General features: G+C 47.5%; 1 protein-coding gene, 1 long non-coding RNA gene and 1 pseudogene across 7 annotated transcripts in view, besides 4 other annotated features; 2 read left to right on the top strand and 1 right to left on the bottom strand.

The window, feature by feature from the left end:
- Positions 1,089-1,590: an enhancer, noted in NCBI's record as "H3K4me1 hESC enhancer chr15:91586547-91587048 (GRCh37/hg19 assembly coordinates)". NCBI's record gives its function as "activates a minimal SCP1, AML or CMV promoter by ChIP-STARR-seq in naive H9 embryonic stem cells {active_cell/tissue: H9 hESC(naive)}" and the evidence as "EXISTENCE:reporter gene assay evidence [ECO:0000049][PMID:30033119]".
- Positions 9,612-12,960, top strand: LOC390638 (golgin A2 pseudogene; annotated as a pseudogene).
- On the bottom strand, positions 13,768-22,285 carry VPS33B-DT (VPS33B divergent transcript). The gene is made up of 4 exons (NR_110104.1): positions 22,167-22,285; positions 20,936-21,594; positions 14,666-15,026; positions 13,768-14,248 (listed from the first exon to the last, which is right to left on the bottom strand). It is a non-coding gene; the product is annotated as a VPS33B divergent transcript (long non-coding RNA).
- VPS33B (VPS33B late endosome and lysosome associated) overlaps positions 22,286-27,401 on the top strand; it is a 24,206-nt gene continuing 19,090 nt past the window's right edge. For 2 of the 6 annotated variants that reach the window (NM_001289149.1, XM_047432384.1), the window contains exons 1-2: positions 22,286-22,753; positions 27,022-27,102. Coding sequence is in view for 3 of the 6 variants with exons in the window: in XM_047432384.1 (XP_047288340.1) it covers positions 22,658-22,753; positions 27,022-27,102 (177 nt within the window). In the remaining 3 variants the exon portion in view is untranslated. Of the gene's footprint in view, positions 22,754-27,021; positions 27,103-27,401 lie in introns of those variants that run through there. The other 4 variants (XM_005254887.2, NM_001289148.1, NM_018668.5 and 1 more) reach the window with 3 other exon arrangements.
- Positions 22,349-22,758: an enhancer, noted in NCBI's record as "active region_10107". NCBI's record gives its function as "activates an Ori minimal core promoter by ATAC-STARR-seq in GM12878 lymphoblastoid cells {active_cell/tissue: GM12878}" and the evidence as "EXISTENCE:reporter gene assay evidence [ECO:0000049][PMID:35858748]".
- Positions 22,349-23,229: a biological region, named in NCBI's record as "H3K27ac hESC enhancer GRCh37_chr15:91564908-91565524".
- Positions 22,613-23,229: an enhancer, noted in NCBI's record as "H3K27ac hESC enhancer chr15:91564908-91565524 (GRCh37/hg19 assembly coordinates)". NCBI's record gives its function as "activates a minimal SCP1, AML or CMV promoter by ChIP-STARR-seq in naive H9 embryonic stem cells {active_cell/tissue: H9 hESC(naive)}" and the evidence as "EXISTENCE:reporter gene assay evidence [ECO:0000049][PMID:30033119]".

Here is a 27,401-nt window from a genome sequence, read left to right as displayed (position 1 = left end):
GCACTCAATTAATGTTATCTGTTAGTATTGCTGTTGCTGTTATTGTTACTACAAAGCAGGAACAAACAACAGAGTATGGCTGACAATGTAGGGGCACGCGGTAATGCAGTGGTATATGTTATGAGTTGAACGGTGGCCCCCAAAAAGATATGTCCATTTCCTAACCCCGATACCCTGTGAATCTGCCATTATTGTAGATGTAATCAAGGATCTCAAGATGAGATCATCTGAGTGGGGCCTGAATCCAGTAAGTGTCTTTATAGGAGACAGAAAAAAAGACCCCTGAAGACAGAGGCAGAGGTGGGAGTGATGCAGCTGTGAGCCAAGGAATGTCTGAGGCCTGCACGAACTGGAAGAGGCAAGGAGGGACTCTGCCATAGAGCATTTCGAGGAAACGTGGCCCTACCAGCACCTTGATGTCAGACTTCTGGCCTCTAGAACTGTGAGCAAATTTCTGGCATTTTAAGCCAACCAGTTGTTTCAATTTGTTCCTGCAGCCACAGGAAAGCCACCTTCAGAGCAAAATGTTGCTGGCTAAAAATATCCCTGGACCAGGACAGTTGACCTATTAGCCGCACCTTAGGGAAGGGGGGAAGGGCAGGGGGTAGTGGCCCAGCACTGCCTTGTGTTGGTGCTACAGGGGAGCTCAGGCCTGAGGACCTTCTGGAGGCCAGGCGCTGGAGGTGCCCTCTTCACTGTGGAGGCCTCAGCAAGTTCCTTCCCCTCTGTAGGCCTCACCCCCACCCCCCACTTGGTGTTTTGCGTGTCTCTGTGAGTCTCAGGGATACAACACCCCCATGTGACCAAATCCTCTGAGGTCAGGTCTGGCAAAGCCAGGAGCAGCCTCTGGGGTGAAGCAGATGCTCACCTGCCGCTCCCTGCGCTGCCCAGGACTTCCCGGCCCAGACCTCCGGAGCTAACGGCTAACAGCTAATGTAGCCAGAAAATGAGCCCTCTCACTCTGCGTTCCCCTCTCCCCAGATAGACTTGAGGAGAATGGGATCTAGTGGCTTCCTTTCTGTGGGGTATTTCCAAAGCTTCCCTGCGGTCAGCTGAGGGGCACCAGGCAGAAGCATGTGTCTGGGCAACAGGTCCCTGTCTGTTGCCAGGCAAGCCTAAGGGGGTCCATGGAGGGCTTTGTGTCCAGGACCTCTGGGTGGCAACACCAGCAGGGCCAGCAGTTTCTGAAGGGGCTGCCCTCCCACACCTCCTCATTCCCACTCTAACCACATGTATGTGGTTATGGGCATGTGTGTGAGCAGGGCTGGGGAGGCAGGAGCAGCTGCTTGAGTGACACCAAGAACAACTTTGTGAACATGGACACGCCAGCTGAAAGGAAACCCAGGTTCATTAAGTCCAGTACTCTCATTATACAGCCAGAAAACTGAGGCCTGGAGAGAGGAGGGACTAAGGTTATACCTTGATCACCAGCTAAGCTGAGCCGGGAATCCAGGCTCCCTGTCCGCCCCTGGGAAGTGTGCGTTTACAATGCGCATGCTTGGGATAAGGCTGCCCTATGTGTAGGTTGAAGGGTTGCCGTGAGCCTATCCATGCAACAGTCCGTGCCTGACAGCGCTGGGTGTTCATTTGGGTTCACCCTGTGGGGACTATGTTTAACCTGATGGTTAAACCTTGAGAGCTGAGGAGGAGGAGGAGGAAGAGGAACAGGAGGGGTGGGCGAGGAGGGAGTTCGCAGCTGAGCAGGATCAGGAGAGGACCCTGGAGGACTGTTCTTCAGTAGATGGGCAAGCTCTGTTCTCTCGTGGGGACTTTCAGTTCTTCCCCTTGGGAAATTATTCTAGGCTCCTAACATGCCTCAGACCACAGATCTAAGACATACCTACAAGAGCACTCCAAGGAGAGTAGCGCCAACTCCCTCCCACCCCGGTGAGCACCGCCGGGTCAGCACTGTGGGGCGAGTGCTCAGAGCCCCAGACCAGATGAAGGACCAGCATCTGCTGGACGATGGACTCAAGTGTGCAGAATACAGTGCTAGGCCCTACAAGGAGTTCAGTAAAGGGAGTAAAGAAAACATAATTTACCATTTCTTTTTAATTTTTTTATTTTCTTTTTTTTTCTTTTTTTTTTTTTTTTTGAGAAGAAGCCTTGCTCTGTCACCCAGGCTGCAGTGCGGTGGCATGATCTCGGCTCAGGGCAACCTCCACCTCCTCAGTTCAAGCAATTCTGCCTCAGCCTCCCGAGTAGCTGGGATTACAGGTGCGCACCATGCCTGGCTAATTTTTGTATTTTTCATAGAGATGCAGTTTCACCATGTTGGCCAGGCTGGTCTCGAACTCCTGACCTTGGCCTCCCAAAGTGCTGGGATTACAGGCATGAACCACTGCACCCAGCATAATTTACCATTTCAATGCGTTGAGACTCCAACCCCGTGGGAAACTGCCTGATATGAAAGCCTTTTCAGAAAGCTGGTAAATGTATACAGAGCTTCATGGCCTAAGTAATTTTCTGATAAGGGGTGAAAACACAGCGAGTGGTTTGGGTGAGGAAGGAGGAGGCAGGCTTGAAGCAGGACCTTCAGGAAGGGGAGGGGGAATGCCTGACCTTAAAGAGAGGGAGGGTTGTGCCTGGAAAGTACAGTGGTGAGTGCCAGGGGCCCAGGCCCTGGAGCCCCCAGCCTGCTCCACAGTCTGTGATCTCCCTTGGAGCTGCGAAAGCCTTTACTGGTCTCTACTGCGAGCCAGTTTTTTAAAAGGGACACATTGTCATTGTACATATTGTATGTACAAATTGTACCTACTGTATGTACAATTTGTACCTACTGTATGTACAAATTGTACATACAATATGTACAAAGTGTACATATTGTATGTACAAAGTGTACATAGGGTACAATTTGATGTTTCAATACAGATATGCTTCGTAATGATCAAATCAGGGAGGTAGCACATCCATCCCCTTATGCATGGGTCATTTCTTATAGGCAATGAAGTACTATTCAGCCATAAAAAGGACAAAATCCTGTCATCTGGAACCACATGGATGAACCTGGAGGACACCATGTTAAGTGAAATAAGCCAGGCACACATAGACAAATAGCCCATGATCTCACTCATATGTGGAGTCTTTAAAAAAAGTGAACTCAGGGCCGGGCGAGGTGGCTCACACCTGTAATCCCAGCACTTTGGGAGGCCGAGACAGGAGGATCACTTGAGGTCAGGAGCTCAAGACCAGCCTGGCCAACATGGCGAAACAGCATCTCTACTAAAAATACAAAATTAGCTGGGCGTGGTGGCGTGCACCTGTAATCCCAGCTACTCAGGAGGCTGAGGCGGGAGAATCACTTGAACCCGGAGGCAGAAATTGCAGTGAGCTGAGATCATGCCACTGCACTCCAGCCTGGGCAACAGACCCCATCTCAAAAAAAATAAATAAATAAAAATAATTTTTAAAATGTGAAGTCAGGAACCACCGGAGCATTCAGTGGTACCCCGTGGAGTAAAGCAGCTGTCACAGACCCTCCCCTGTGGCTTGACCTGTGCTGCCTCCCCTATTCCAGGATGTTTTTCCAGAAACAACTCCTTTTATCATTTGGTTCTGTCTTGTTTCTTGGGATGCTGTCCTGGAGTGGATTCTCAGTCACTCTCTACACTGCGTGTAGCTCCCCTCTTAGACTGGGTGAAGGAGGCACAGAGAGAGAAGGAAAGAAGCAAAACAGACTCCCAGCAGTGAGACCTTTTTCTATACAGGTTTTATGTATTTGAGTCCGGGAGCTTTCTTTTTTAATTGTGGTGAAATACATGAAACATAAAACTTACCACTTCAACCATTTTCAAGTGTATGATTCAGCGGCATTAAGTACACTCACAGTGCTGTGTAACCATCACCACTAATCACTGCAGAACCTCTTCATCCCTCCAAAAGAAACCCCGTACCCACGAAGCAGTCACTTCCAATTCCGCACCTTCCCCAGGCGCCGGTTGCCACTCATCTGCTTTCTGTCTCCGTGGATTTGCCTGTGTGTCAAGATGTTTTGATCTTTATGTTCCACTTAAAATGCAAATAACCATAGGAGAACCCACAATCTACACTTTCAATTCCATTAATTTCGACAATACCCACCCTTACCCACCTCCATAGTTTAGAAATTACTATTATTATCGTTTTAGAGACACGGTCTTGCTCTGTCACCCAGGCTGGACTGCAGTGGCTCAATCACAGCTCACTGCAGCCTCGAAGTCCTGGGCTCAAACAATCCCCCTGCCTCAGCCTCCCAAGTAGCTGAGACTACAGATGTGTACCACCACGCCTGGCTAATTTTTTGATGTTTTATAGAGACAGGGTCTCAAACTGCTGCCCAGGCTTGTCTCAAGCTCCTGGTCTCAAACAATCCTCCCACTTCAGCCTCTAAAAGTGTTTGGATTACAGGCATGAGCCAATGAGCCCAGCTAGAAATGATGGAATCCCTATGTGTTATGGGGAAAACACTAGCGTGGAAGTTCAGAGACCAGGGTTCTAGCTCATTCTGTCCAAAATTATGTGCTCTTTTGTGGATGAGGGTCCCTGACTCGCTTTAGGCCTTAACATCCCCATCCTGAGGCATGGGAGGTGGACTTGGCTAATCAATTCCAGGGCCCTCTGCGGCTCTGACCCTCTAATGCCATAGCAGCAGTCCCCTGACCTGGCAGAGCACAGGGTGGGTGGGACCTGCAGGACTGGGTGCCAGAGGAAGCCAGGCCTGGGGATGGGGGCAGCACTGGGGAGGGCTCAGACTTGACCTGCCTCCCCCACCACTAGGCCCGGGGCCAGCCCTGTCCACATGAGCTTCCTGGCTGGTTCAAAGCCCCAGGCAGACTCTGCAGGTGGGATGTGGGAGTCCCCATCATAATGCCTGCTCTGGGGTGAGCCTCCTGGGGGCCTCAAGCAGAGGCCTTCCTGGGCAGGCTGAGGCAGGACAGGGCAGAGCAGGCCTGGGGGCACAGGAAGGAAGGGACAGAGGTTGGGACAGGGCAGCTGCAGAGTGGGGTGCAAGATCCTCAACCCAGAGGCTCCCTAGGCCCCACTTGCCCCAGCTCTTGAAAGCCTGGTTCTGAGCTCTGCCAGGACTGGGGCTCAGCACTGCCCATGGAAACAGGCATGGCAGCGAAGAAAATCATAACCAAATATTTGTAGTCACCTCTCTCCTCCCTTCTGGAAAGGGAGGGTCCCTGGTTTGTGGGCTCTTGGCCTCCTGGACATTATTCTGTAGTGAAGGGAGAAAGGTTGAGATGCAGAGTTGGAGAAACTAACAGAGGCCAAACTGGTCCATTTGAGGAAAGATGGGGGATCCCAGGAGGGGAGGAGGGGACACCCTGGGGAACCGGGGGCCTTCTCAGGTGGTCCAAGTAGGGGAGGGCAGGACACAGAAAGTCAGAACATGGTTTTGAGTTTTGGAGACAAGAGAAAAGAGGGAGTGATTTGGACAACTGGAGAAGATCAGGCTGGGGAGAGAAATGTTTAGAGATTTGGAAGATAGTGTGTCGTGCGATGTATTGTGAAAACCCCTTCTTCATATCCGTAAAAAACCACCACTGATGATGCGTGATACAATTCAGTGCTTTTGCAGACGGACTGGTGCCTTTTTAAAATAATAAGAATGCATTGGCTTGGCTCCATCTGAATTAGTAGAGACAGACATCTTGAGCAGGTTTTATCAGTGTTCCATTAGCTAAATATTGGGTTTCCTATTTTGTGGCTTGGCTTAAACCACTTTGTAGGCCCTTCTGCACTGGAAGGCACCTCAAAAATCACCTCTTTGGCCTGCAGCTCCATGTCCCCAAACTCTTGGCTTTCCTAAATGAGTGGCCTCATTCAGAAGATAATACAGCATCCCTCATCTGAAAATCAAAATCCAAAACTGTTTGAGTGCCGACATGATGTTCGAAGGCCAGGTTCAAAGGAAATGCTCATTGGAGCATTTTCGATTTCAGATTTTCGAATTCCAAAATCTGAAAAAATCCGAAATCCAAAATACTTCTGTAATTGTAACCTGTAATAGCCATTGGGTCCTGACCTTCCAGCTGAGGCAGCCAGCAGTCAACAGAGGCTCACCATGCACCCATCCTGCCCCTCACCCTCCCACGGGCTTGTGCCTCACCCCCCAGCCTCCCTTGCATCTGCTGGGAAGGGGACACAATGCTTCTGCCCTGCCTTCTTGGATCTCAGACCACTGTGACAATTGCAGGATTCCAGCCAGGGAAAGTGCTACAGGTAGAGGTACTTAGTACTCTCCATAGAAAAGGTTCCAGCAATGGCACAGCAGCCCCGGAAGGGTCTGTGACAGTCTCCACTCCTCCAGCTCTGGTCCCTGCCTCTTAGGGAGCTTCTCAGCACTGCCCTCAGAGTCGGAGGGGGAGGTCCAAACCTCAGACTGAGGTACCTGCTTCTCCTCCTCCCCCATGACCTCCCTGTGGCCTCTGACCCCGCTGTGAAATGAGGGTGGTAATGTCTCCTTCAGTGGGCTGTTGGGAGGTCAGAGAGAATGGATACAAAGTGCTGCACACAAAACCCAGCACTGGGAGGTGCCCCATCCATGACACCGTGAATCCCTGTCCACAATGCAGTGCATGAGAAATTTCATCCTAAAGTCCTTGATTTTAAATGCAACACTTGAGTTTCTGAATTCAAGGTCCCTTTCCTGGGCAGTCAGCTGTGCCTCAGTGCTCTGGTTCTATGTGAAGTCAGGGGATTGGGATGCAGAGAGACACCTCGTCCTCAGTCATCCTTCCACCTTGATCACCACTGAGATATCCATCTTTTCTAGCCATTGTTTCTGTTCTGTGGCAGGCCTGGGATCACCCAGACACACCACACTGTTGCTGCGGGTGGCAGGAAATGTCATGGGAGAGGGTCAGGGTCCCCCTGGTGCCCACCATCTCCTCCCTCCCTCCTTCCCCTCTACTACTTGCTCCCCAGCAGCAGTGAAGTTTGGAGCTGCTGCTGGCTACAATGATGGGGAAGGGCAGGGAGGAGAAAAAAAGGGACAGCATTAGGAGATATACGTGATGTTAAATGATGAGTTAATGGGTGCAGCACACCAACATGGCACAGGTACACATATGTAACAGACCTACACATTGTGCACATGTACCCTAAAACTTAAAGTATAATGGAAAAAAAAAAAAAACCTCTCAGCTGGACGTGGTGGCTCACGCCTGTAATACCAGCACTTTGGGAGGGCTAGGCAGATGGATCACCTGAGCTCAGGAGTTCATGACCAGCCTGGCCAACATGGTGAAACCCCGTCACTACTAAAAATAAAAAAAAATTGCCAGGCATGGTGGCGGGCATCTGTCATCCCAGCTACTAGGGAGGCTGAGGCAGGAGAATCGCTTGAACCTGGGAGGTGGAGGTTGCAGTGAGCCGAGATCATGCCACTGCACTCCAGCCTGGGCAACAGAGCGAGACTCCGTCTCAAAACAAAAAATAAATAAATAAAATAAAAATGAAAAATAAAAGGAAGATGGGGCAGCTTTGTGTACTGCACGTCCCGAAAATGGGCAGACTGACCTCAAGAGGCAGAGATTCAAGCTCTCTAGCCTACGTGGAAAACATACAGGAGAAAAAAGAAGAAAAAGAAAAAATATATAAATATAAATAAATGAAAATAACACTTCTCCCTGATTATAAAGGAAATCACATTCCTTTTGTAATAATTTGGATGACAAAATATAAAGAAAAATTTTTAATTTTGCCACTCAAAACATTCTGGTGTGTTGCTTTTTACACTTTTGTGTGCACATAAACATTTTAAAAAGTAGAATCATAATATATAGCCTTTTGTCACTTACTATATTTTGGGCATGTCTCTATGGCAGAAATATATCCTGGCATCATCATTTTTAATAGCTGGCTGTTAATTCCTGGTGAATAGCTGGTGAAATTCCTTCTATATACATTTTTAATAGACTTGAGCAAGCATTTTTGGACTGAATTCATAGAAGAAGAATTTCTGGAGGAAAATAACATAAAACAGTTTTAGGGTTTTTAATAGAAATGTTCAAATTATCCTGTAGGAAAATTGGTTCAGTTTATAATCCCACCAACAGAGACAGAGCTCCAGGTTCCCCTTCTATTTGTCATCTTTGCTGGTCTTTAAGCAGAAAATCTCATTGTTTTCATGACATTTCTTTGATTTCTAGTGCTTTTTAATCTTTTTCATATGCTCATTGGCCATTTTTATTCTTGTGAGAAGTTCCCGCGTCTCCATTGCCCACTTTCTGTTAGAAATCATTCCTTTTTTCTGAGTAATTTTTTTTTTTTTTTTTTTTTTTTGAGGCAGAGTTTTGCTCTTGTTGCCCAGGCTGGAGTGCAATGGCGCCATCTCAGCTCACCACAACCTCCGCTTCCCAGGTTCAAGGTGGAAAAAACTCAAAACTTAAATTTCCTGTTGAATGCAATTTGAAAATATAGCCAATGATTCCACTTTTCTTCTCTAGTAAGGTTGGACATTCTGATCTACTTGGTGTTTTATTATAGAACTCCTAGTGTGCCTGAGTCTTACATTGTGAAGATACTTTTCTGAAACTTTACATGTAAGAGAATATATATGATATTGGATGAGATCAGGCTGGATGAGAACTGATACCTGTAGATATACTTTTTAGACAAAATCTCCGATTGCCACTCGTTTTCTTATTTAACTCATAAAAATAAAACACATTGGATGGAGGGTAGGAGTAGGAAGGATATTTATATGTTTTAATTGCAAGTCATTGTTTCATATCAATACAGAACATATGGTATCCCTGGCTTTGGACCTACAGAAGGAAACACATTTTTCTACCTGGCGTATGCCAGAGGTTCTTGAACACCTGGAGGGATTACTGCAGCCCTGGGGTGGTGAGAGCCCCATCCAGCTGGGGCCATGGCCTAGGGATCATGCCGGGTATGGGGAGGCTCCAGCCAAGAGCCGAAAAATTTGAGTCCTTGTTCTTCTCCTGCCATAGAATCCTCTAGAGACTGCTAAAAATCTACAAATTGAGGCCCTGCCATGGACCTGGGGAATCAGAATCTGAAGGTTAGGGCTTAAAATTTTTTTTCATAAAGCATCATGGATGAAAACCATTATTTTATAGATTACATTTATATGGCTAGCTCATGAGTCTGTTTATTTCCTTCTGAGGTTCAAGCCAACACTTTCACTATTTCCTGGTAATAGAGTTGTGATCTTTTTTTTTTCTTTTTTTGAGGTGAGGTCTCGCTCTGTGACCCAGGCTGGAGTGCGGTGGTGCTATCTCAGCTCACTGCAACCTCCACCTCCCAGGCTCAAGCTATTCTCCTGCCTCAGGCTCTCAAGTAGCTGGGACTACAGGTGCGTGCCACTGCACCTGGCTAATTTTTGTATTTGTAGAGACGGGGCTTCGCCATGTTGCCCAGGCTGGTCTGGAACTCCTGAGCTCAAGGAATCCACCCGCCTCAGCCTCCCAAAATTTTGGGATTACAGGCATGAGCCACCATGCCCAGCCTGAGATCTCTTTAAAATTATTCAATTTTTTGTATCTAAAGCAAAGCAACTTGACAGAGACCTTATTGACTGAGTTGTACATTGAGCCTAGCCCTAGCCCTTTTAAAGGCGCTGTGTGGAACAGTCCGGGCTCCCCAGATAGAAATGTCTCCTGTTTCACCATCCAGTTGTCTAGATGCTGCAAAGCCCTGGATGCTAACCAGCAGTTACAGCAGGCCATGGAGGAGCGGGCACAGCTGGAAGCATACCTGGGGCACGTGAGGCTTTGCAGAGGGAGGGACGTGGAAGGAAGATGACCCCAGGTGGCCAGGAGTATGTGAGGACCAGTGACAGCCCTTCCTAACTTCTGTGTCAATTCTCGCAGGTGATGGAGTGGCTGCAGTATCTACAAATGGAGAGACGAGTACGCTGAGTATCTCCATGGAGAGCATGCCGCGTGTGGCAGAGGATGCAGGAGATGTTGGAGCAGGTGAGACCTGACGCTTCAGTCCCCGCCTTGGAGAGGTCGCTTGATCGTTCTGACCATCTGTGCAATGGGAAGAGCACAGCCAGAGGTGGTCATCGGTCTGGGCTTTGTGGAGGTGGGGGCAGAGAGGGAGATGGTAGCCTGTCCAGCCACCAGCCCCTCTCTCCAGGGCCCTTTCCCCCTGTATTTTGGGCAGGTTCACACATTGAAGGAGGAGAAGAAGCATGACATGCGTCAGGTAGAGGAACTGGAGACAAGCTCAGCTCCACTGCTCACCACTGAACGAAGAACCAGATGGGTGAGCTGGGGCTGGGGTGACCTCGAAGCAGGACTGGCATCAGAGGGCTGTGGGGGTGGCTTAGAATGCCCCAGGGAGGTGGGTAAATGGAAGGGCTTTGAGGCACAGGGAAAGAGGTGGGGACATGGCAAGTCTTGTCATCTCCATGAGCCTCAGTGTCCCCATCAGCAAAGAGGGAGGAGTGCTGATTGTCAGCCACCCACAGTGCTATCTAAAAGTGGCTTGGAAGATTGGCTACCACCCGGGTGCAAGGAATCATTAGCAGGGAGGCCAAGTTTGGGGAGCCTGAGAGGAGCTGTGCACCAAGAGGAGGGTTTTTTGAGAATCCAGAGGCCCTTATTGTCTGCTTCCTTTCTCAGCTGAACCCCTACACCTGGAGCCCCCAGCAGGACCCTTGGAGGTGGAGCAGCAGCTACAAGCGGAGATCAAGCACCTGCGGAAGACGCTGGAGAGTCTGGCAGGACAGCTCCAAGCCCAAGTGGAAGCCAATGAGGGCTCGAGTCACCTGAACCGGCAGCAGGACGAGAGGCTGCGGGAGTGGAAAGCAGAGCTCTGGGAGGAGCAGGGGGAGACGGGCAGGTCCTCCGTGCAGAAAGACCGCACCACCATCAGCCACGCGCTCTCCCAGAATCACCAGCTCGAGGAGCAGCTGGCCAAGGTGAAGCAGATGGTAACCCCCGCCCCATCGAAGAAGGGCTAGGAGGCGGGCACCAGTCTCTGGGGAAGGGAGGTGCGAGGCCAGAGGCAGCTCTAGCCTGGGGGACAGGTGACCCCAGCACCCTCCAGGGCAGTGCTGTGATTGTTTCTTGCTTCCTGCCCTCTGACTTTTAGAGGTGGGTAGCCCTGGGCTCCTCCCAGGTCTGGACGTCATCATCCCAGCTAGAGGCATGGAGCCCCCCAGTCATAGGGAAAGAGGCAATGGTATAAGAGCCTCCTTAGATTCAAACTGAATTCTGGCCTCGGATCCACTGCTCACCATTGAACTACTTTGCATCTCTAAGTCTCAGTTTATTTCACTTCAAAAGGAAGTGAGCTTTTTCTTCGCAGAGGTGCTGAGGGTTAAATTAGATAATACGTGGAAACATTAGGCATGTAGCACACTTAGCAGATGGTGGTTGGCTCCCTCTGCTTTTCCTCCAGTCTGTGGCCTGCAGTTTAAATGGTGAGAAAAGGGTGTGAGATTTGAGGCTGGGGAAGGAGGCATGGGGCTCTAGGCAAGTAGGGGCAGTCACTTAGGCCTGGAGCAAGGGGCCAGGGACCTGGGCAGGTGACAGAGCCCCACAGTGCCCTCTCTACCCTATTAATGGGCCCAGAATCTGGAAGCCAGCCACCAGCTGCCCTCATGCCCAGGGACTTCCTGCAGGTGGAGCTGGAGAGCCAACAGGCTCAGAGTCTGCAGCGGCCTCGAGGCCAGTACCTGGGTCACCTGCAGCAGTACGTGGCCACTTAGCAGCAGCAGGTGGCAGCCTATCAGCAGCTGACCTCTGAGAAGGAGGCGCTGCACAGGCAGTTACTGCTGCAGACCCAGCTCATGGACCAGCTGCAGCAGCAGGAAGCTCAGGGCAAAGCAGTGGCCGAGATGGCCCACCAAGAGCTCAAGGAAACTCAGGCAAGGGAGTTACTGAGGGCGGGGCCCCGAGGGGGACGACCTGCCAACCTCTGTGCCTTCTCATTCTCTTTCCTGGCCCCTTAGGAGCGCCTGGAAGCTACCAGCCAGCAGAACCAGCAGCTACAGTCCCAGATGAGCCTCATGGCTCTCCCTGGGGAAGGTACGGGACACCACTCAGAGGAAGAGGAGAGAGCCCCAGGAGGAAAGGGGGACTGTTAGCACTGTAGGATTGAGGAGTTGGAAGAGACCTTTAAGACAGCTGGTCATTATGCTGACCGGGTGTCTGCACTAAGTTTGGCATCAATATGGTGACCTCCTGGGAGCGGGGACCACCAGGTTGCCTAAGGATGGGATCCAGGTCAGAAAGGGAGCAGGTCAGAACTCCCGCACCGATGGCTAGTGGGACTGTGCCTGGGCAACATAGCGAGACATTGGCTCTTAGAAAAAAAAAATGAAAATAGAGAACAGCTGCTCATTCCTCTCTGGGAAGGGGCCGGCCCAGGGTTACACAGTGAGGGTGGGGACAGAGATGGCCCACTGTACCTCCCTTGTTGAGTTGTCCGAGGACCCCTCTGGCCACCCCTCACAGGCGATGAACTGGGCAGTAAGGAGGAGGAGGAGGCGCCTCAGCCCATGCCGAGCATCTTGGAGGACCTGAAGAGCCGGGAGGCCATGGTGAGCCTGACTCCCACTGCCCCACCTTTGCTGCCTCCCTCTGTGGTCCCTCCCAGACCCCCTTTTGCTCTTTGTTTCCTGCCCTCTGATTTCTCTGGACCCTCGTGCCTTCCCTGGGAGCCAGTGATCAGACATCATTTCACCTGTGACCCACAGGTGCACCCTCTGAGGCCCCAAAGGAAGACCTCCTCTCCCCCTCCCTGCCGCGTTTGTCCTGTGTATCCCCCTACAAGAATGCATATGTCTTGCCTGCAGGTGGCCTTTTTAAACTCAGCTTTAGTCAGTGCCGAGGAGGAGCAGCAGGCACAGCTACATGGGCAGCTGAAGGAGCAAAGGGTGTGTTGCCAGCACCTGGCTCACCCAGTGGCCTTGGCCCAGAAGGAGCCAGAGGCGGCAGCCCCAACCCCAAGGACCGGGGGCGATTCCGCGTGTGGGGAGACCCACCGGGCTTTCTCCATGTTGGCCAGGCTGGTCTTGAACTCCTGACCTCAAGTGATCTGCCCTCTTCGGCCTCCCAAAGTGCTGGGATTACAGGCCTAAATCACCACACCCAGTCCAATGAAGACTTTTTTACAATTTGCAGTTCAGGCTGTGGAAAATTTGAGCTACAAATTAGCAAGAGTTTACTCTTCACATGAATGTTGTCAGATTCATCTTTTAATAATTGGTGTTTATATTTTCATTTAATGTCATCCACTTTTCTACAGGGTATGGACAGTGGATTTGCAGGTGGAGAAGACAAAATTTATAATGTTTACGATCAAGCCTGGAGAGGTGGTAAATAAAGATATGGCCCAGAGTATTTATAGGTCTGGTAAAAACCTGGACAAGGATATGTATGGTCATGACCTAGAAGCCAGAAGAAAGACCAACAGGTATCAAGCCATACAACTCTGTTTCAGTGTTTACACCAGTGAAAATAAAGTAGTTCATAGTCTTTTCTCTTGTTCCCTAGATTTGTTCCCAACAAGGAGTTTTTCAGACCATAGACAGAGAAGCCGAGAGGCTGAGAAGGACCAGTTCAGTTTGAGGAAGATTCTTTTGATTTGGACACATTTTTGGAAGAAGCCAGACAGCATGGTGGCCCTCAAAGACCCTCAGCAGCTGCCCCAGAGAACATGAGCATGAAGGCAAGAAGAGGAGGAAGGAGCAGACACACGTCTCTTCAAAGCAAATGAACTGTGATCATCCATAACCCTAATGATGCAAGTGCTGTGGCACGACACTTTGTGAATGGTCAGGATACAAACCAAATCTGGATTCTACTTTTTATTATTGGAGAAGGCAAGGGTGGGGAGGGGGCGGGGATAGAAAATTTTACTTTGAATTATTTAGTTTTTTTAAAGAGTGGGTTGTATTTGTGCTTCTCCCACCTTTCAGCATTTGTAGAACATGCTGGCCCACATACACAATCAAGACCACTTCCTTCTGTGTGACACTAGCAGTTCGGGTTAATATTTTGTGTAAGAACAGCTGCTTATGAGTCAAGTCACCCCAACGGCAGTGAGGAGGAGGATGTTCACATATTGGTACTGTCCTGCCAAATAAATGTGGCCCCTGTTGCGCTGTGTTTTAATTCGGAGTGGGGAAAAGAAGCTCTTGCTTTGTTTCAAATGAAAACCTTTAGACAAAATTCTCGGTTATGTTTCCTTTATGTAATAGGCTGGGAGAGTCTCAAAAATCTTCCTCTTCACCAGATGTTTGCAAAACTTTAGGCCTTTGAGCTTGAACCTGGAGCTGGAAAAAAATAAGCACTGTAAGGAAGGAAAGGCAATGTCTGCAAAAACATTCGATCTGAAAATCGCCTTTTTATGAGGGAGTCAGTGAAAAGAACTCAGGCAGTTTTTATGTGCACCTTGTTCTTTTATTTGTTTTCTCCTCAAACTCCCTTTACCATCTTTGTTGTTCCTATGACTCCCTCACCCTCCATTAAAAATTGTAAATTGGGCAAGTCACAGTGGCTCAGTCCTATAACCCCAGCACTGTGGGAGGCTGAGGCAAGAGGACAGCTTGAGGCTAGGAGTTCAAAACTAACCTGCAGCATAGAAAGGCCCAGTCTCAACGAAAACAAATAAATTAAAAAATAAAATATAAATCAATCTGGCCCAAGATCGCATAATAAGCAGGAAAGGCAAGATTTCAGCCCCAGCTTACCTGACTTGAGAAGTGCGCTGCTGTGTGCACTGTGTTCTGTATATCTTGCTAACAATTACAGGTCTTCTTGTACTTCTCCTTTAAAACTGGGAACTCTTCCACCCCAGCATTCTAACAAGCATGAAGGCAGCTTCAGTTACAAATCTCTCAAAGTCCCCATCGTTCCACATTTATGATCTATTTAATTGATACATAATCAGATAGTAGCTGCATGTATATCATAGATGTATCTGGTATACAAACAGATTGACTTGACTCCATCTAGAATATGATTTTCCTGTTGTAGTGCATTCTGAAGTTCTTCTGAAGAAAACTGAACCCAACCCGAACCTCTGTGAAAGCCAGTCTCCTTGTCCTAGAACTTCAAAATATGGGAAAAGATTAATCATGAACTTGAGAAAGTTTCCATGAGCTCCAAATCAAACTGCCAAATTTTTCATCGGCCACAATCGGGTTGATTATTTATTGTTTGAGACAGCGTCTCGCTCTGTGACCCAGGCTGGACTGCAGTGGTGTGAACATGACTCACTGCAGCCTCAACTTCCTGGGTTCAAGGGATCCTCCCACCTCAGCCTCTTCAGTAGCTGGGATCATAGGTGCGCACCACCATGCCTGGCTGATGTTTTGTATTTTTTGCAGAGATGGTGTCTTGCCATGTTGCCCAGGCTGGTTTCAAACTGCTGGGCTTGAGCAATCCTCCCACCTGGGCCTCCCAAAGTGCTGGAATTACAGGTATAAGCCACTGTGCCCAGCCTCAAATCAGATTCCAGACATTTAGAAATGTCAGCAACCTTGCTTCATACCCTTCCTCGTTACCCAAGGCTAAATCCCTATGTTCATGAACTTACTCTGTTTTCCTCACTGCCATAGAAAAGATATGGGTAATGAGTTTCTGTGTCATTCTAGATGCAAACCATATTAACAGTAATAGCCAAGGGAGATTTTGATCAGAACTCTTGTTTCTAACCTCATTTCTAGAAACTAGAAAATTAGGCCTCAAAACCTAGGCGCACCTATGATCATTTCTGAGCCCAGTCACCCTCAACACCAGCACTACCATCATCACATGTTCCTAATGATAAACAAGAAACGACAACATTTAGCCCTTACTTAACCTCGTTACAGACTTCTGGTTAATTTAAACAATTTTTTACTTTCCCTTTGTGCAAACGGAAGACTTCTTTGCTTTTCTGAGATGGAGTCTCGCTCTGTTGCCAGGATGGAGTGCAGTGGCGCGATCTTGGCTCACTGCAACCTCCAACTCCCTGATTCAAGCTATTCTCCTGCCTCAGCCTCCTGAGTAACTGGGATTACAGGCATGCACCACCATGCCCAGTTAATTTTTGTATTTTTAGTAGAGACGGGGGTTTCACAATGTTGGCCAGGCTGGTCTCGAACTCTTGGCCTCAAGTGATCTACCTGCCTTGGCCTCCCAGAGTGCTAGGATTACAGGTGTGAGCCATCGCTCCCAGCCTTCATTACCACAGCCCTTACAGTGCCGCAAAGAAAAAAACAGTTTCAGTGAGGTATGTGTAAACTCTGTGTACTCACATCCCACCCTAGAAAGCCCACAAAAAAATACAGCCCAGGATAAATGTATAGACTGACTTCTAAACCCTCACAAGAAAGCTAAGGAAATGTAATTAATGTAAAAATAATGTTTCATTAGTTATCAATCTAAAAAAGGTACTCAATGAAGATAAAACTGAAAATATTCTCTGCTGATTATTAGACATCTATTAGAGATCATTAGCATACTATAGTAGGCAGAATTCTAAAGTGGGTCCCGTGATCTCCACACATTCCCCATGTTACACCTTATACACTCCCCTCGTTTTGAGTGTAGGCAAGACCTGACTTGTTTCTTGTTGTTGTTGTTGTTGAGATGGAATCTCACTTTGTCACCCAGGCTGGAGTGCAGTGGCGCGATCTCAGTTCACTGCAGCCTCCACCTCCCGGGTTCAAGTGATTATCCTGCCTCAGCCTCCCTAGTAGCTGGGATTACAGTTGGTGGGATTAGCCACCACGCCTGGCTAATTTTTTTTGTACATGTTTAGTAGAGATGGGGTTTCACCATGTTGGCCAGGCTAGTCTCAAACGGTTGACCTCAAGTGATCTGTCTGCCTCGGCCTCCCAAAGTGCTGGGATGGGAGACCTGACTTGTTTCTAACCAAAAGAATATAGCAAAAGTGATGGGATGTCACTCCTGTGTTATGTTCTATATAAGATACCATCTTAGCAGACTGGAGAAGCCCTTGCTGGCTTTAAAGAAGCAAGCTGCCATGTTGTAAGACAGTCTACAGATAAGCCAGGCAACAAGGAGCTTCAGGCAGTCCCTAGGTGAGAGCAGCTCCCAACTCAGAGCCAAAGGTCATCAAGGAAACAGACTTCAGTCCTACAGTTAAAGATGAATTCTGCCAAACACGCTGAAGGAGCTTGGAAGTCAGTCTTTTTCCCCAGTTGGCCCTTTGATGAGACACACTACAGCCCCAGCTGACACCTGGATTATAGTGCTGTGAAACCCTAAGAAGAGGACCCAGCTCAACTGTGCCCAGCTGTGAGATATGTGTTATTTTCAGCCATTATGCTTGCGGTATTTTGTTATACAACAATAAAAAAGCTAACACAAATACCTATAAAACTTTTTTATTTTTTAATAAGTATCACTCAAAATGTTATCAATAGACTTTAGACCACACACAGTAGCTCACGCCTGTAATCCCAGCACGTTGGGAGGCCAAAGCTGGAAGATTGCTTGAAGCCAGCAGTTCAAGACCAGCCTTGGCAACATGGCAAGACCCCCCCCATCTCTATAAAAATAGGCCAGGCACAGTGGCTCACAGTTGTAATGCCAGCAGTTTGGGAGGCCAAGGTGGGTGGATCACTTGAGTCCAGGAGTCTGAGACCAGCCTGGGCAACACAGTGAGACCCTGTCTCTATAAAAATAGGCCAGGCATGGGCCAGGTGCAGTGGCTAGTGCCTGTAATCCCAGCACTTTGGGAGGCCGAGGTGGGCGGATCACGAGGTCAGGAGATCGAGACCATCCTGGCTAACATGGTGAAACCCCGTCTCTATTAAAAAATATAAAAAATTAGCCAGGCACGGTGGCGGGCACCTGTAGTCCCAGCTACTGGGGAGGCTGAGGCAGGAGAATGGCATGAACCCAGGAGGCCGAGCTTGCAGTGAGCCGAGATAGCGCCACTGCAGTCTGGCCTGGGCAAAAGAGTGAGACTCCATCTCTAAAAAAAAAAAAAAAAAAAAAGATTGCAATATATGATAATCATTTTTAAAGTATTTGATTAAACCTGATAGGTTTTCCGGAAATGGAAAAAAAAATCCATTTTAAAACCAAGCTGATTTTTAGAAAATTTCAAAATGTAAATCAGCCCTATCCAGAATATAATTTATTTAAAACTTTATCTTAAGGAGTCATTTTATAATAGTATAACTATTAAAAAAGTAACTGTTATTTTAATGTTTTGAAATAAAACATTTTAAAATATGAATACTGTAGCTTAAAAGAAAGAAACTGGAGAAGGAAAAGTAGAGAAAGAAATGCCAATTCCAGTCCAAAGTTTTATTTGTCAAGTTTTCTTAGAATAACTTTTACCTATTTACGAATTCTTGTAAATAGAATTTATAATGGAAATACTGAAAGACTTTTGCCTAAAGTGTCATTATCGAATACTGCTGTGATGTTACTGTAATGTAATAAGTTATTGTTGCAAAGTGCTGTTTTTGACTTAAAATTTTATTTTGTGTGTCTTGAAAACCATAGTATTAAAGGTATCGAGATTGTGCAAGTGCTGGGCACACTTGGCATGGGATAATGTTTTTATTTTTACAAAATTGTAATATAACTATGCAAGTGTTTATTAAAAGAACACAAACTGAAAAGGTTATGGGATTAAAAAAAGTAATGGGATTAAAAAAGTTATGAGATGTTCTGCACGGTGGCCCACGCCTGTAATCCCAACACTTTGGGAGGCCGAGGCGGGCAGATCACCAGGTCAGGAGATCAACACCATCCTGGCTAACACAGTGAAACCCGTCTCTGCTAAAAATATAAAAAATTAGCCAGGCATGGTGGCACACCCCTGTAGTCCCAGCTACTTGGGAGGTTCAGGCAGGAGAACTGCTGGAACCCAGAAGGTGGAGGTTGCAGTGACCCGATATCGCACCACTGCACTCCAGCCTCGGCAACAGAGTCAGACTCCGTCTCAAAAAAAAAAAAAAAAAAAAAAAAAGTTATGAGATTAAAAAGTTATGGGATTTTTAAAAAGTTACATTATGGGATAAAAAATGTTATGAAAAAAGACTGAGGAAAAAAATTGTGGGAAAAAAGTTGTGGAAAAAGTTATGAAAAAAAATTATTCCAAAAAAAGTTTTATGAAAAGCTATGGGATTAAAAAAAAAGTCATGTGATAAAAATTAAATAAAAGCAGGCCACTGTCAGCAAAACCTGGGGAAGTGTCCAATGGGGGAAACAGGTGCAGATGAGATGAAGATTACTGTCATCCAAAAGCAGGGAACTAGGCCCGGCGTGGTGGCTCGCTCCTGTAAGCCCAGAATTTTGGGAGGCCGAGGTGAGCGGATCACCTGAGGTCAGGAGTTCGAAACCAGCCTGGCCAACATGGCAAAACCCTGTCTCTACTAAAAATACAAAAAATTAGCTGGGCATGGTGGTGCGTGCCTGTAGTCCCAGCTACTCAGGAGGCTGAGGCAGCAGAATTGCTTGAACCCGGGAGGTGGAGGTTGTAGTGAGCCCAGATGCACCATTGCACTCCAGCCTGGGTGACAGAGCAAGACTCCATCTCAAAAAAAAAAAAAAAGTTATGGAAAAAACTTAGGAAGAAAAAGTTATGGGATAAAAAAAGTCATGGGATAAAAATAAAAATAAGGCTGGGCGCGGTGGCTCACGCCTGTAAGCCCAGCACTTTGGGAGGCTGAGGCAGGTGGATCACCTGAGGTCAGGATTCGAGACCAGCCTGGCCAACATGGAGAAACCTCATCTCTACCAAAACTACAAAAATTAGCTGGGAGTGCTGGCGCATGCCTGTAACTCCAGCTGCTCCAGAGTCTGAGGCAGGAGAATCGCATGAGCCTGGGAGGCGGAGGTTGCAGTTAGCCAAGACAGCACCACTGCCCTTCAGCCTGGGCAACAGAGTGAGATTCCGGGGGGGAAAAGAAGGAGTGTAATGTAATGCCTCACTCATCTTCTTTAAGCAGCAGTGGGAGTAAATCCCACCACTTTAGGGCAACCTCCATCTCCCACTGCAGCCAAGATTCAATCTAAGGGCGTTAGTGGGAAGAAAGGCTCAGCATAAAATACCATATGAGCTCTCAAAGTCCAGTGTGAGCATAGCGTGTTTTTTGTTTTTTGCTTAACCTTGTATTATACAGCTTTTCAAACATAGAAACGTAGGGAGAAGTTCAGCAAAGTGGCATGTGCCTGTATTCCAGCTATCTGGGGGGCTGAGGTGGGAGGATCACTTGAGCCCAGGAGCTCAAAGCTGCTGTGAGCTATGACTATACCTCTGCACTCCAACCTGGGCAACAGAGCAACACTCCATCTCTAAATAAAGACGTAGAATACTAAAATGCAATAAACCCCCATGTACCCATCAGCTTTAACAATTAACAAATGGCCAATCATTTTTTAATTTTTTTATAGACATGGGGGTCTTACTGTGTTGCCTAGGCTGGTCTTGAACTCCTGGGCTCAAGCAATCCACCTGCCTCGGTCTGGGTTCACAGGCGTGAGCCACCGTGCCTGGCCCAATCTTTTTCCTGAATGTTCCTACATCTCCCCCTGGGTTATTTTAAAGCAAATCCCAAACATATTTTAGTTTTTTTTTTTATTTTTTAAGAGACAGATCGGGCCAGGCATGGCGGCTCATGCCTACAATCCCAGCATTTTGGGAGACTGAGGCGGGAAGATCACCTGAGGTCAGGAGTTCAAGACCAGCCTGACCAACATGGAGAAACTCTGTCTCTACTAAAAATACAAAATTAGCTGGGTGCGTGGCACATGCCTGTAATCCCAGCTACTCAGGAGGCTGCAGCAGGAGAAACGCTTGAACCTGGGAGGTGGAGGTTGCAGTGAGCTGAGATCGTGCCATTGCACTCCAGCCTGAGCAACAAGAGCGAAACTCCATCTCAAAAAAAAAAGAGACAGAACATATCACTGCACTCCAGCCTGGGTGATAGATAAAGCCAGACCTTGTCTCAAAAAAAAAAAAAGAAAAGAAAAAACAAACGGTGTCTCACTCTGTTGCCCAGGCTGGGGTGCTGTAGCATGATCGTAGCGCACTGCAGCCTCAAACTCCTGGGCTCAAGTGATCCTCCTGCCTCAGCCTCCCAAGTATCGAGATTAAAGGTGCCCACCACCATGCCTGGCTATTTTTTATGTGTTGTAGTTGACCAATCTTATCTCAAACTCCTGGCCTCAAGCAACCCCCCGACCCCGACCTGGACCTCCCAAAGTGGTGGGAATTAGAGACATGAACCATTACTCCTGGCCAAATTATTTCACCTGTAAAAACTTCAGTATGTATCTCAAAGAGATAAGGACTTGTTTTTAACAGAAATACAAGCCTGTATGACATAGAAATACAAAAAATAATAATAACATAGAAATACAATACCTGGCCCAACGTTGTGGCTCACGCCTGTAATCCCAGCACTTTGGGAGGCCAAGGCAGGCGGATCACTTGAGGTCAGGAGTTCGAGATCAGCCTGGCCAACATAATGAAACCCCGTCTCTACCAAAAATACAAAAATTAGCCGGGCATGGTGGCACTCGCCTGTAATCCCAGTCTACTCGGGAGACTGAGGCAGGAGAATCTCTTGAACCTGGGGCGGCAGGGGGGTTGTGGCGCGGAGCTTGCAGTGAGCCGAGCTCCTCCACTAGGCAAAAGGGCGAGACTCTGTCAGGAAAAAAAAGAGAAGAAAAGAAATACAATACCCGAAAAGTTTTAGTAATTCCTTAAATCAGTTATCTTTGAATTATTATCCAAAAAAGATCCACACATTGAAACATTTTGTTGATACATCTCTTAAATCTCTTTTATTCTGAAGTGTTTTCCCCTCCCACATTTCCCACTTTGCCATTTTTTTGAAGACGACAGATCATTTGTCCCATATAATTTCCTACATTTTGGATATGGTTGATTTCATACCTTTGGTGTCTTAACATATTCCTGCTAATCTCTATATAGCCTATAAACTGGTAGTTAGATCTTGAGGCTTGATTAGGTTCAATTTTTGGCAATAGGTGATGCTCTGTATTTCCTATGCATCTCACCAGGAAATGATATGATGGTATGATTGATCAGAGTTGAGGTATTGTTAGCTAGCCTGATGCATTCATTATGTCTTTTTTTTTTTTTTTTTTTTTTTTTTTGAGGCAAGGTCTAGCTTTGTTGCCCAGGCTGGGGTGCAGTAGCGCGATCGCAGTTCACTGCAACCTCCGCCTCCCTGACTCGAGCGATTCTCCCACCTCAGCCTCTGGAGTGCTGCGACCCCAGGCGCCGCCACCTAATTAATAGACGCGTTGCCTCCGTTTTTCAAATGTCCCTTTCAGGACGCCGTCCCCTTCCTGGTACGCGAAGCGCTGGGAGCGAAAGGGACTTCCGGGAGATCTAGGAAGTCGCTTCTTTTTCTGGTAGAAGGCGGGGTTCTCCTCGTACGCTGCGGAGTCTCTGCGGGGTGTAGACCGGAATCCTGCTGACGGGCAGAGTGGATCAGGGAGGGAGGGTCGAGACACGGTGGCTGCAGGTCTGAGACAAGGCTGCTCCGAGGTAGTAGCTCTCTTGCCTGGAGGTGGCCATTCATTCCTGGAGTGCTGCTGAGGAGCGAGGGCCCATCTGGGGTCTCTGGAAGTCGGTGCCCAGGCCTGAAGGATAGCCCCCCTTGCGCTTCCCTGGGCTGCGGCCGGCCTTCTCAGAACGAAGGGCGTCCTTCCACCCCGCGGCGCAGGTGACCGCTGCCATGGCTTTTCCCCATCGGCCGGACGCCCCTGAGCTGCCTGACTTCTCCATGCTGAAGAGGCTGGCTCGAGACCAGCTCATCTATCTGCTGGAGCAGGTCAGTGCTTGCCTGACGCCTTTATCGCATCTACAGTTTAGCACTCATTGGATGCACATTTCTTCCTTGCCGTGCCCCTTTGATCTTGTTCTTGGCCCCTGGTATTGTCCTTGGCGCTTCCCCAGCAGGTCCAGAATGAATCCAGGGAGTAGTAAGAGCTGTTTGGAACCTGGCCAGAGAGTTAATGGAAATCACCCCCCAACCCCGCATACAGGCAAGGGAGACACCATTAGTGCCAGGCATCCCTAGGGACGGAAAGATGGTTAAGACATCTTTGCCATTAGGGATCTTACCACTCCAGTAGGAGCTGTATGAAGCACAAATTATCACACACAGGTGGTAAATGAGTGATAGAGCTAGTGTACCCGAAGAGTTCACAGTAAGTGATCATTTCTAGTTGGGGTGATGATCTAGGAGCTTCAAGGAAGTGAGTGTGAGTAATAAGCATATTTTCTTTGGAGACTAAGCATGCTCCAGGCAGATAGATTGGTAGGAGCAAAGTTGGCAAACCAGGGAAAGACAAGGCATGTAAGGGAAGACACCCATCAGCAGTTACACAGTAGCCACTGAAAAAAATTTTTTTTCCATTTGTGGCATGAGACAATACTTGATGATTCTAATAGTGATGTGTGTGGTGGCGTAAATGGGCAACAAGAAGGCCAGTTAGGAGACCGTAGATCAGACAAGAAATAAAGGCCCACACAAAATTGGTAGCAGTGGGAATGAAGGAAAGTGATGGATTTTTAAGTTATGGTGAAAGAAAACTCAAAGACTTACTGATTGGTTATAAATGTTGAAGGAGAAGCAAAAATGAGTGAGATTTTTAACCTGGGTTATTAGGAAAATAATACTGCCACTGTGATTTTAATGGATTACTTGTGTAATCATTTAGTTATTCATTTTATGTCTGTATTCCTCATTAGACTGGAAGGTGGGCAGGGATCATGTTTGTTTTGTTCAACACTACCTAGTGAGTACCTAGCTTAGAGTCAAGCACACACCATGTGCTTAATAAATATTTGTTGTATTAACATTGAATAGAAATGAGAAAAATAATTAGAAAAAGGAACAGGTTTGATGGGGGAAGTTGATTTGTTTGGGTTTGGATGGGGGAAGTTAAGATGCCCGTAAGAAATATAGCTTGTAACATCCAGCAGATAGAAATGTAGAACTGCAGCTGCATTGTGAGGACTGGAAGGAAGATGGATCAAGATGAGAACTGCAGGGCATCTTAGACCAGATTTTATTTCTATTTTATTTTATTTATTTTTTTGAGACACAGTCTCACTCCGTTGCCCAGGCTGGAGTGCAGTGGCGCGATCTTGGCTAACTGCAACCTCCACCTCCCGGGTTCAGGCGATTCTTCTGCCTCAGCCTCCCCAGTAGTTGGGATTACAGGCGCACGCTAGCCCACCTGGCTAATGTTTGTATTTTTAGTAGAGATAGGGTTTCACCATGTTGGCCAGGCTGGTCTCAAACTCCTGACCTCAGGTAATCTGCCCGTCCCAGCCTCCCAAAGTGCTGGGATTATAGGCTTGAGCTACCACTCCCGGCTTCTTTCTCTTTAATACTTAGTGCTTGCACAGTGACATGCACATAAAAGACTTGCAACAATGTCTGAAGAATTTAAAAGAGGTGCTAGTTAAAGCCACTAGTTCAGGTGAGATCAAGTAGAGGAGACCAAGAAGAGAAACTTGAGCCCACTGGGTGATTCAGCATGGCCAAAGTGGATTTCCAGGCAATAACGTCCTCTCCTAACTAACTTCTGACTTAATTTTTGTTAATGTGCACTGCTATTCAGCTTGAAATATCAGAATCATCTTTGCCTCTCCTTCACCCTGATACTTAACTGAACCAGTTGCTGAGTTCCATGGATACTTCTTTACACATAACTTTTTTATGGTGATTATAAAATAACACTTGCACATTATAGAAAATGTAAGAAGATTAAGGAAAGTAAAAAGGAAAAGAAAACTACTTATAGCCCTACCATAAGTTATAAACACTACTAACACTGTTAATTTCTTTCAAGTATTAAAAAAAATATTAGGCTGGGTGCGGTGGCTCATGCCTGTAATCCCAGCACTTTGGGAGGCCAAGGCAGGCAGATCACCTGAGGTTGGGAGTTCGAGACCAGCCTGACCAACATGGAGAAACCCCATCTCTATTAAAAATACAAAATTAGCTGGGCATAGTGGCCCATGCTTGTAATCCCAGCTACTCAAGAGGCTGAGGCAGGAGAATTGCTTGAACCCAGGAGGTGGAGGTTGCGGTGAGCCGAGATCGCGTCATTGCACTCCAGCCTGGGCAACAAAAGCGATACTCCATCTCAAAAAAAAAAAAATTATATTACACATTCCATGTATCTCTTAATCTATGTTTGCTCACACCACCACCAGCCTAAATCAGGCCTCTTTCATTGCCACATGCTTGCGCTCTGTGGATGGTTTTATTAACTCCCTAAGTGGACTCCCTGCCTCCTGTTTCTCTGGTCTTCAGATTCCTCTAACATTTCCAGCTGATTGGAATGCTTCAATACACAAAAGCTTTATTTTTCCCTGTTAATTAGAGGATCAAGGCCACACTCCCCTAAGCTGGCATTTGGAGCCCTTCCTGCTCAATTCTAACCAACTATTTTGGTCTATTTTTCACCATTCACCTACCTCAAGATTTCCTACCCTCTGTTGACCATTTTGAGTTTGGGAAACTAAAAAATAAATAAACATTTAAAAAGGCCAAACGTGGTGGCTCACACCTATAATCCCAACAGTTTGGGAGGCTGAGGCAGGTGGATCACCTGAGGAGGTCAGGGGTTCGAGAACACCCTGGCCAACATGGCGAAATTCCATGTCTACTAAAAATACAAAAATTAGCCAGGTGTGGTGGCATGCGCCTATAATCCCAGCTACTCGGGAGGCTGAGACAGGAGAATTGCTTGACCCTGGGAGGCAGAGGTTGCAGTGAGCTGAGGTCGTGCCACTCCAGCCTGGGCGACAGAGTAAGACTCTATCTTTAAAAAAAAAAAAAAAAAAAAAAAAACAGGCCAGGAGCAGTGGCTCACACCTGTAATCCCAGCACTTTGGGAGGCCGAGGCAGGTGGATCATGAGGTCAGGAGTTCAAGACCAGCCTGGCCAAGATGGTGAAACACCGTCTCTACTAAAAATACAAAAATTAGCCAGGTGTGGTGGCAGGCACCTGTAATCTCAGCTACTCGGGAGGCTGAGGCAGAGAATTGCTTGAATCCGGGAGGCGGAGGTTGCAGTGAGCCGAGATCACGCCACTGCACTCCAGCCTGGGTGTCAGAGGGAGACTTCATCTCAAAAAACAAACAAACAAAACAAAACAACAAATAAGATTTAAAAAAAAAGATTTCCTGCTCTCTATACTGTTGACTTTTTGGGCTGGATCATTCTTTGTGGTGGGGGCTGGCCTGTGCATTGTTGGATGTCTAGCAGCACCCCTGGCCTCTACCCACAAGATGCCAGTAAAACCCCTACCCTGAGTCAGATAACCAAAAATGTGTCTGGACATTGCCAAATGTCCCTCGGAGGGCAAAATCGTCCCCTTACTACACAGCCTATGCTCTCTTTCTGATCTTTGCTGGACTGTCCTCTTCATCCATCCATGTCAACACCCTACTCATTTGTGAAGGCCTGGGTGAGAGGAAACTCCCAGTGACTTTCCCCTCCCTGTCACTAACTGTGACCTCTCCTTCCTCTGAACAGACATTGAGATCGGTGTCAGGAGTGGTGGTGCAGGAATCGTATGACAGGGATTGTGGGGTGGGGGAGTGGAAGGGTGATGGGGTGAGGACTGTCCTGGGTTTGCTAAGTTTTCTGCAGTGAACGTGTGCTATTTTATTTTGTACTTAGGAGAAAAATGCAAGGTGGGGTTCTGTTGTGTTTGGCTTTGTTCAGCAGGAGACCAGGGGTGGTTAGGAGCCAGAGTGGAGGAGGCAGCAGAGAAGGGGAGTGAGGTGCAGACCAAGGTCACAGGTGAGCAGAAGGGTTGAGTGACAAGGAGTTAACCTGAGAAAGAAGGTGGGATGTCTTCTTCCCACTGGTACAGAAAACGAGAAGGCAAAATAGGTAAATATACAGAGAAGTGTCAACTGTGGATACAGATAATAAATAAGGTGACGGGCTAGACGATACTTAGTGCCCTCCCACCTCAGAGACTGTTTCTGTTAGATGGGTGGCTGGGCCACTTCTCAGCTGCGGAAGCTCATGTGACCTGTGAGTGACCCAACATATTGTGTCTCCTTCAGCTTCCTGGAAAAAAGGATTTATTCATTGAGGCAGATCTCATGAGCCCTTTGGATCGAATTGCCAATGTCTCCATCCTGAAGGTACTGTCCCTTTCCCCTGGGGGCCATGCCCCTCTTTAAGCAGTTTTTCTTTTGATGAACAATACAAACTACTGAAGAGTGACTACTCTTGTAGGGCAAATATAGGGTAGCTTAATTGGGTAGAAAAGGGAGATTGATGCTGTTCGTATTTTTTTGTTTTGTGTTTTTTTGCGGCGGGAGACGGAGTCTCTCTCTGTTGCCCAGGCTGGAATACAGTGTAGTGACACAATCACAGCTCACTGCAGCCTTGACCTCCTGGACTCAGGTGATCCTCCTGCCTCAGCTTCCCAAGTAGCTGG

The sequence above is a fragment of the Homo sapiens genome, chromosome 15 (genome assembly GCF_000001405.40).
Source record: "Homo sapiens chromosome 15, GRCh38.p14 Primary Assembly".
NCBI lineage: Eukaryota > Metazoa > Chordata > Mammalia > Primates > Hominidae > Homo > Homo sapiens.
Note: the sequence above shows the minus strand (reverse complement) of the source record. Positions and strands in the feature narration are given on the sequence as shown.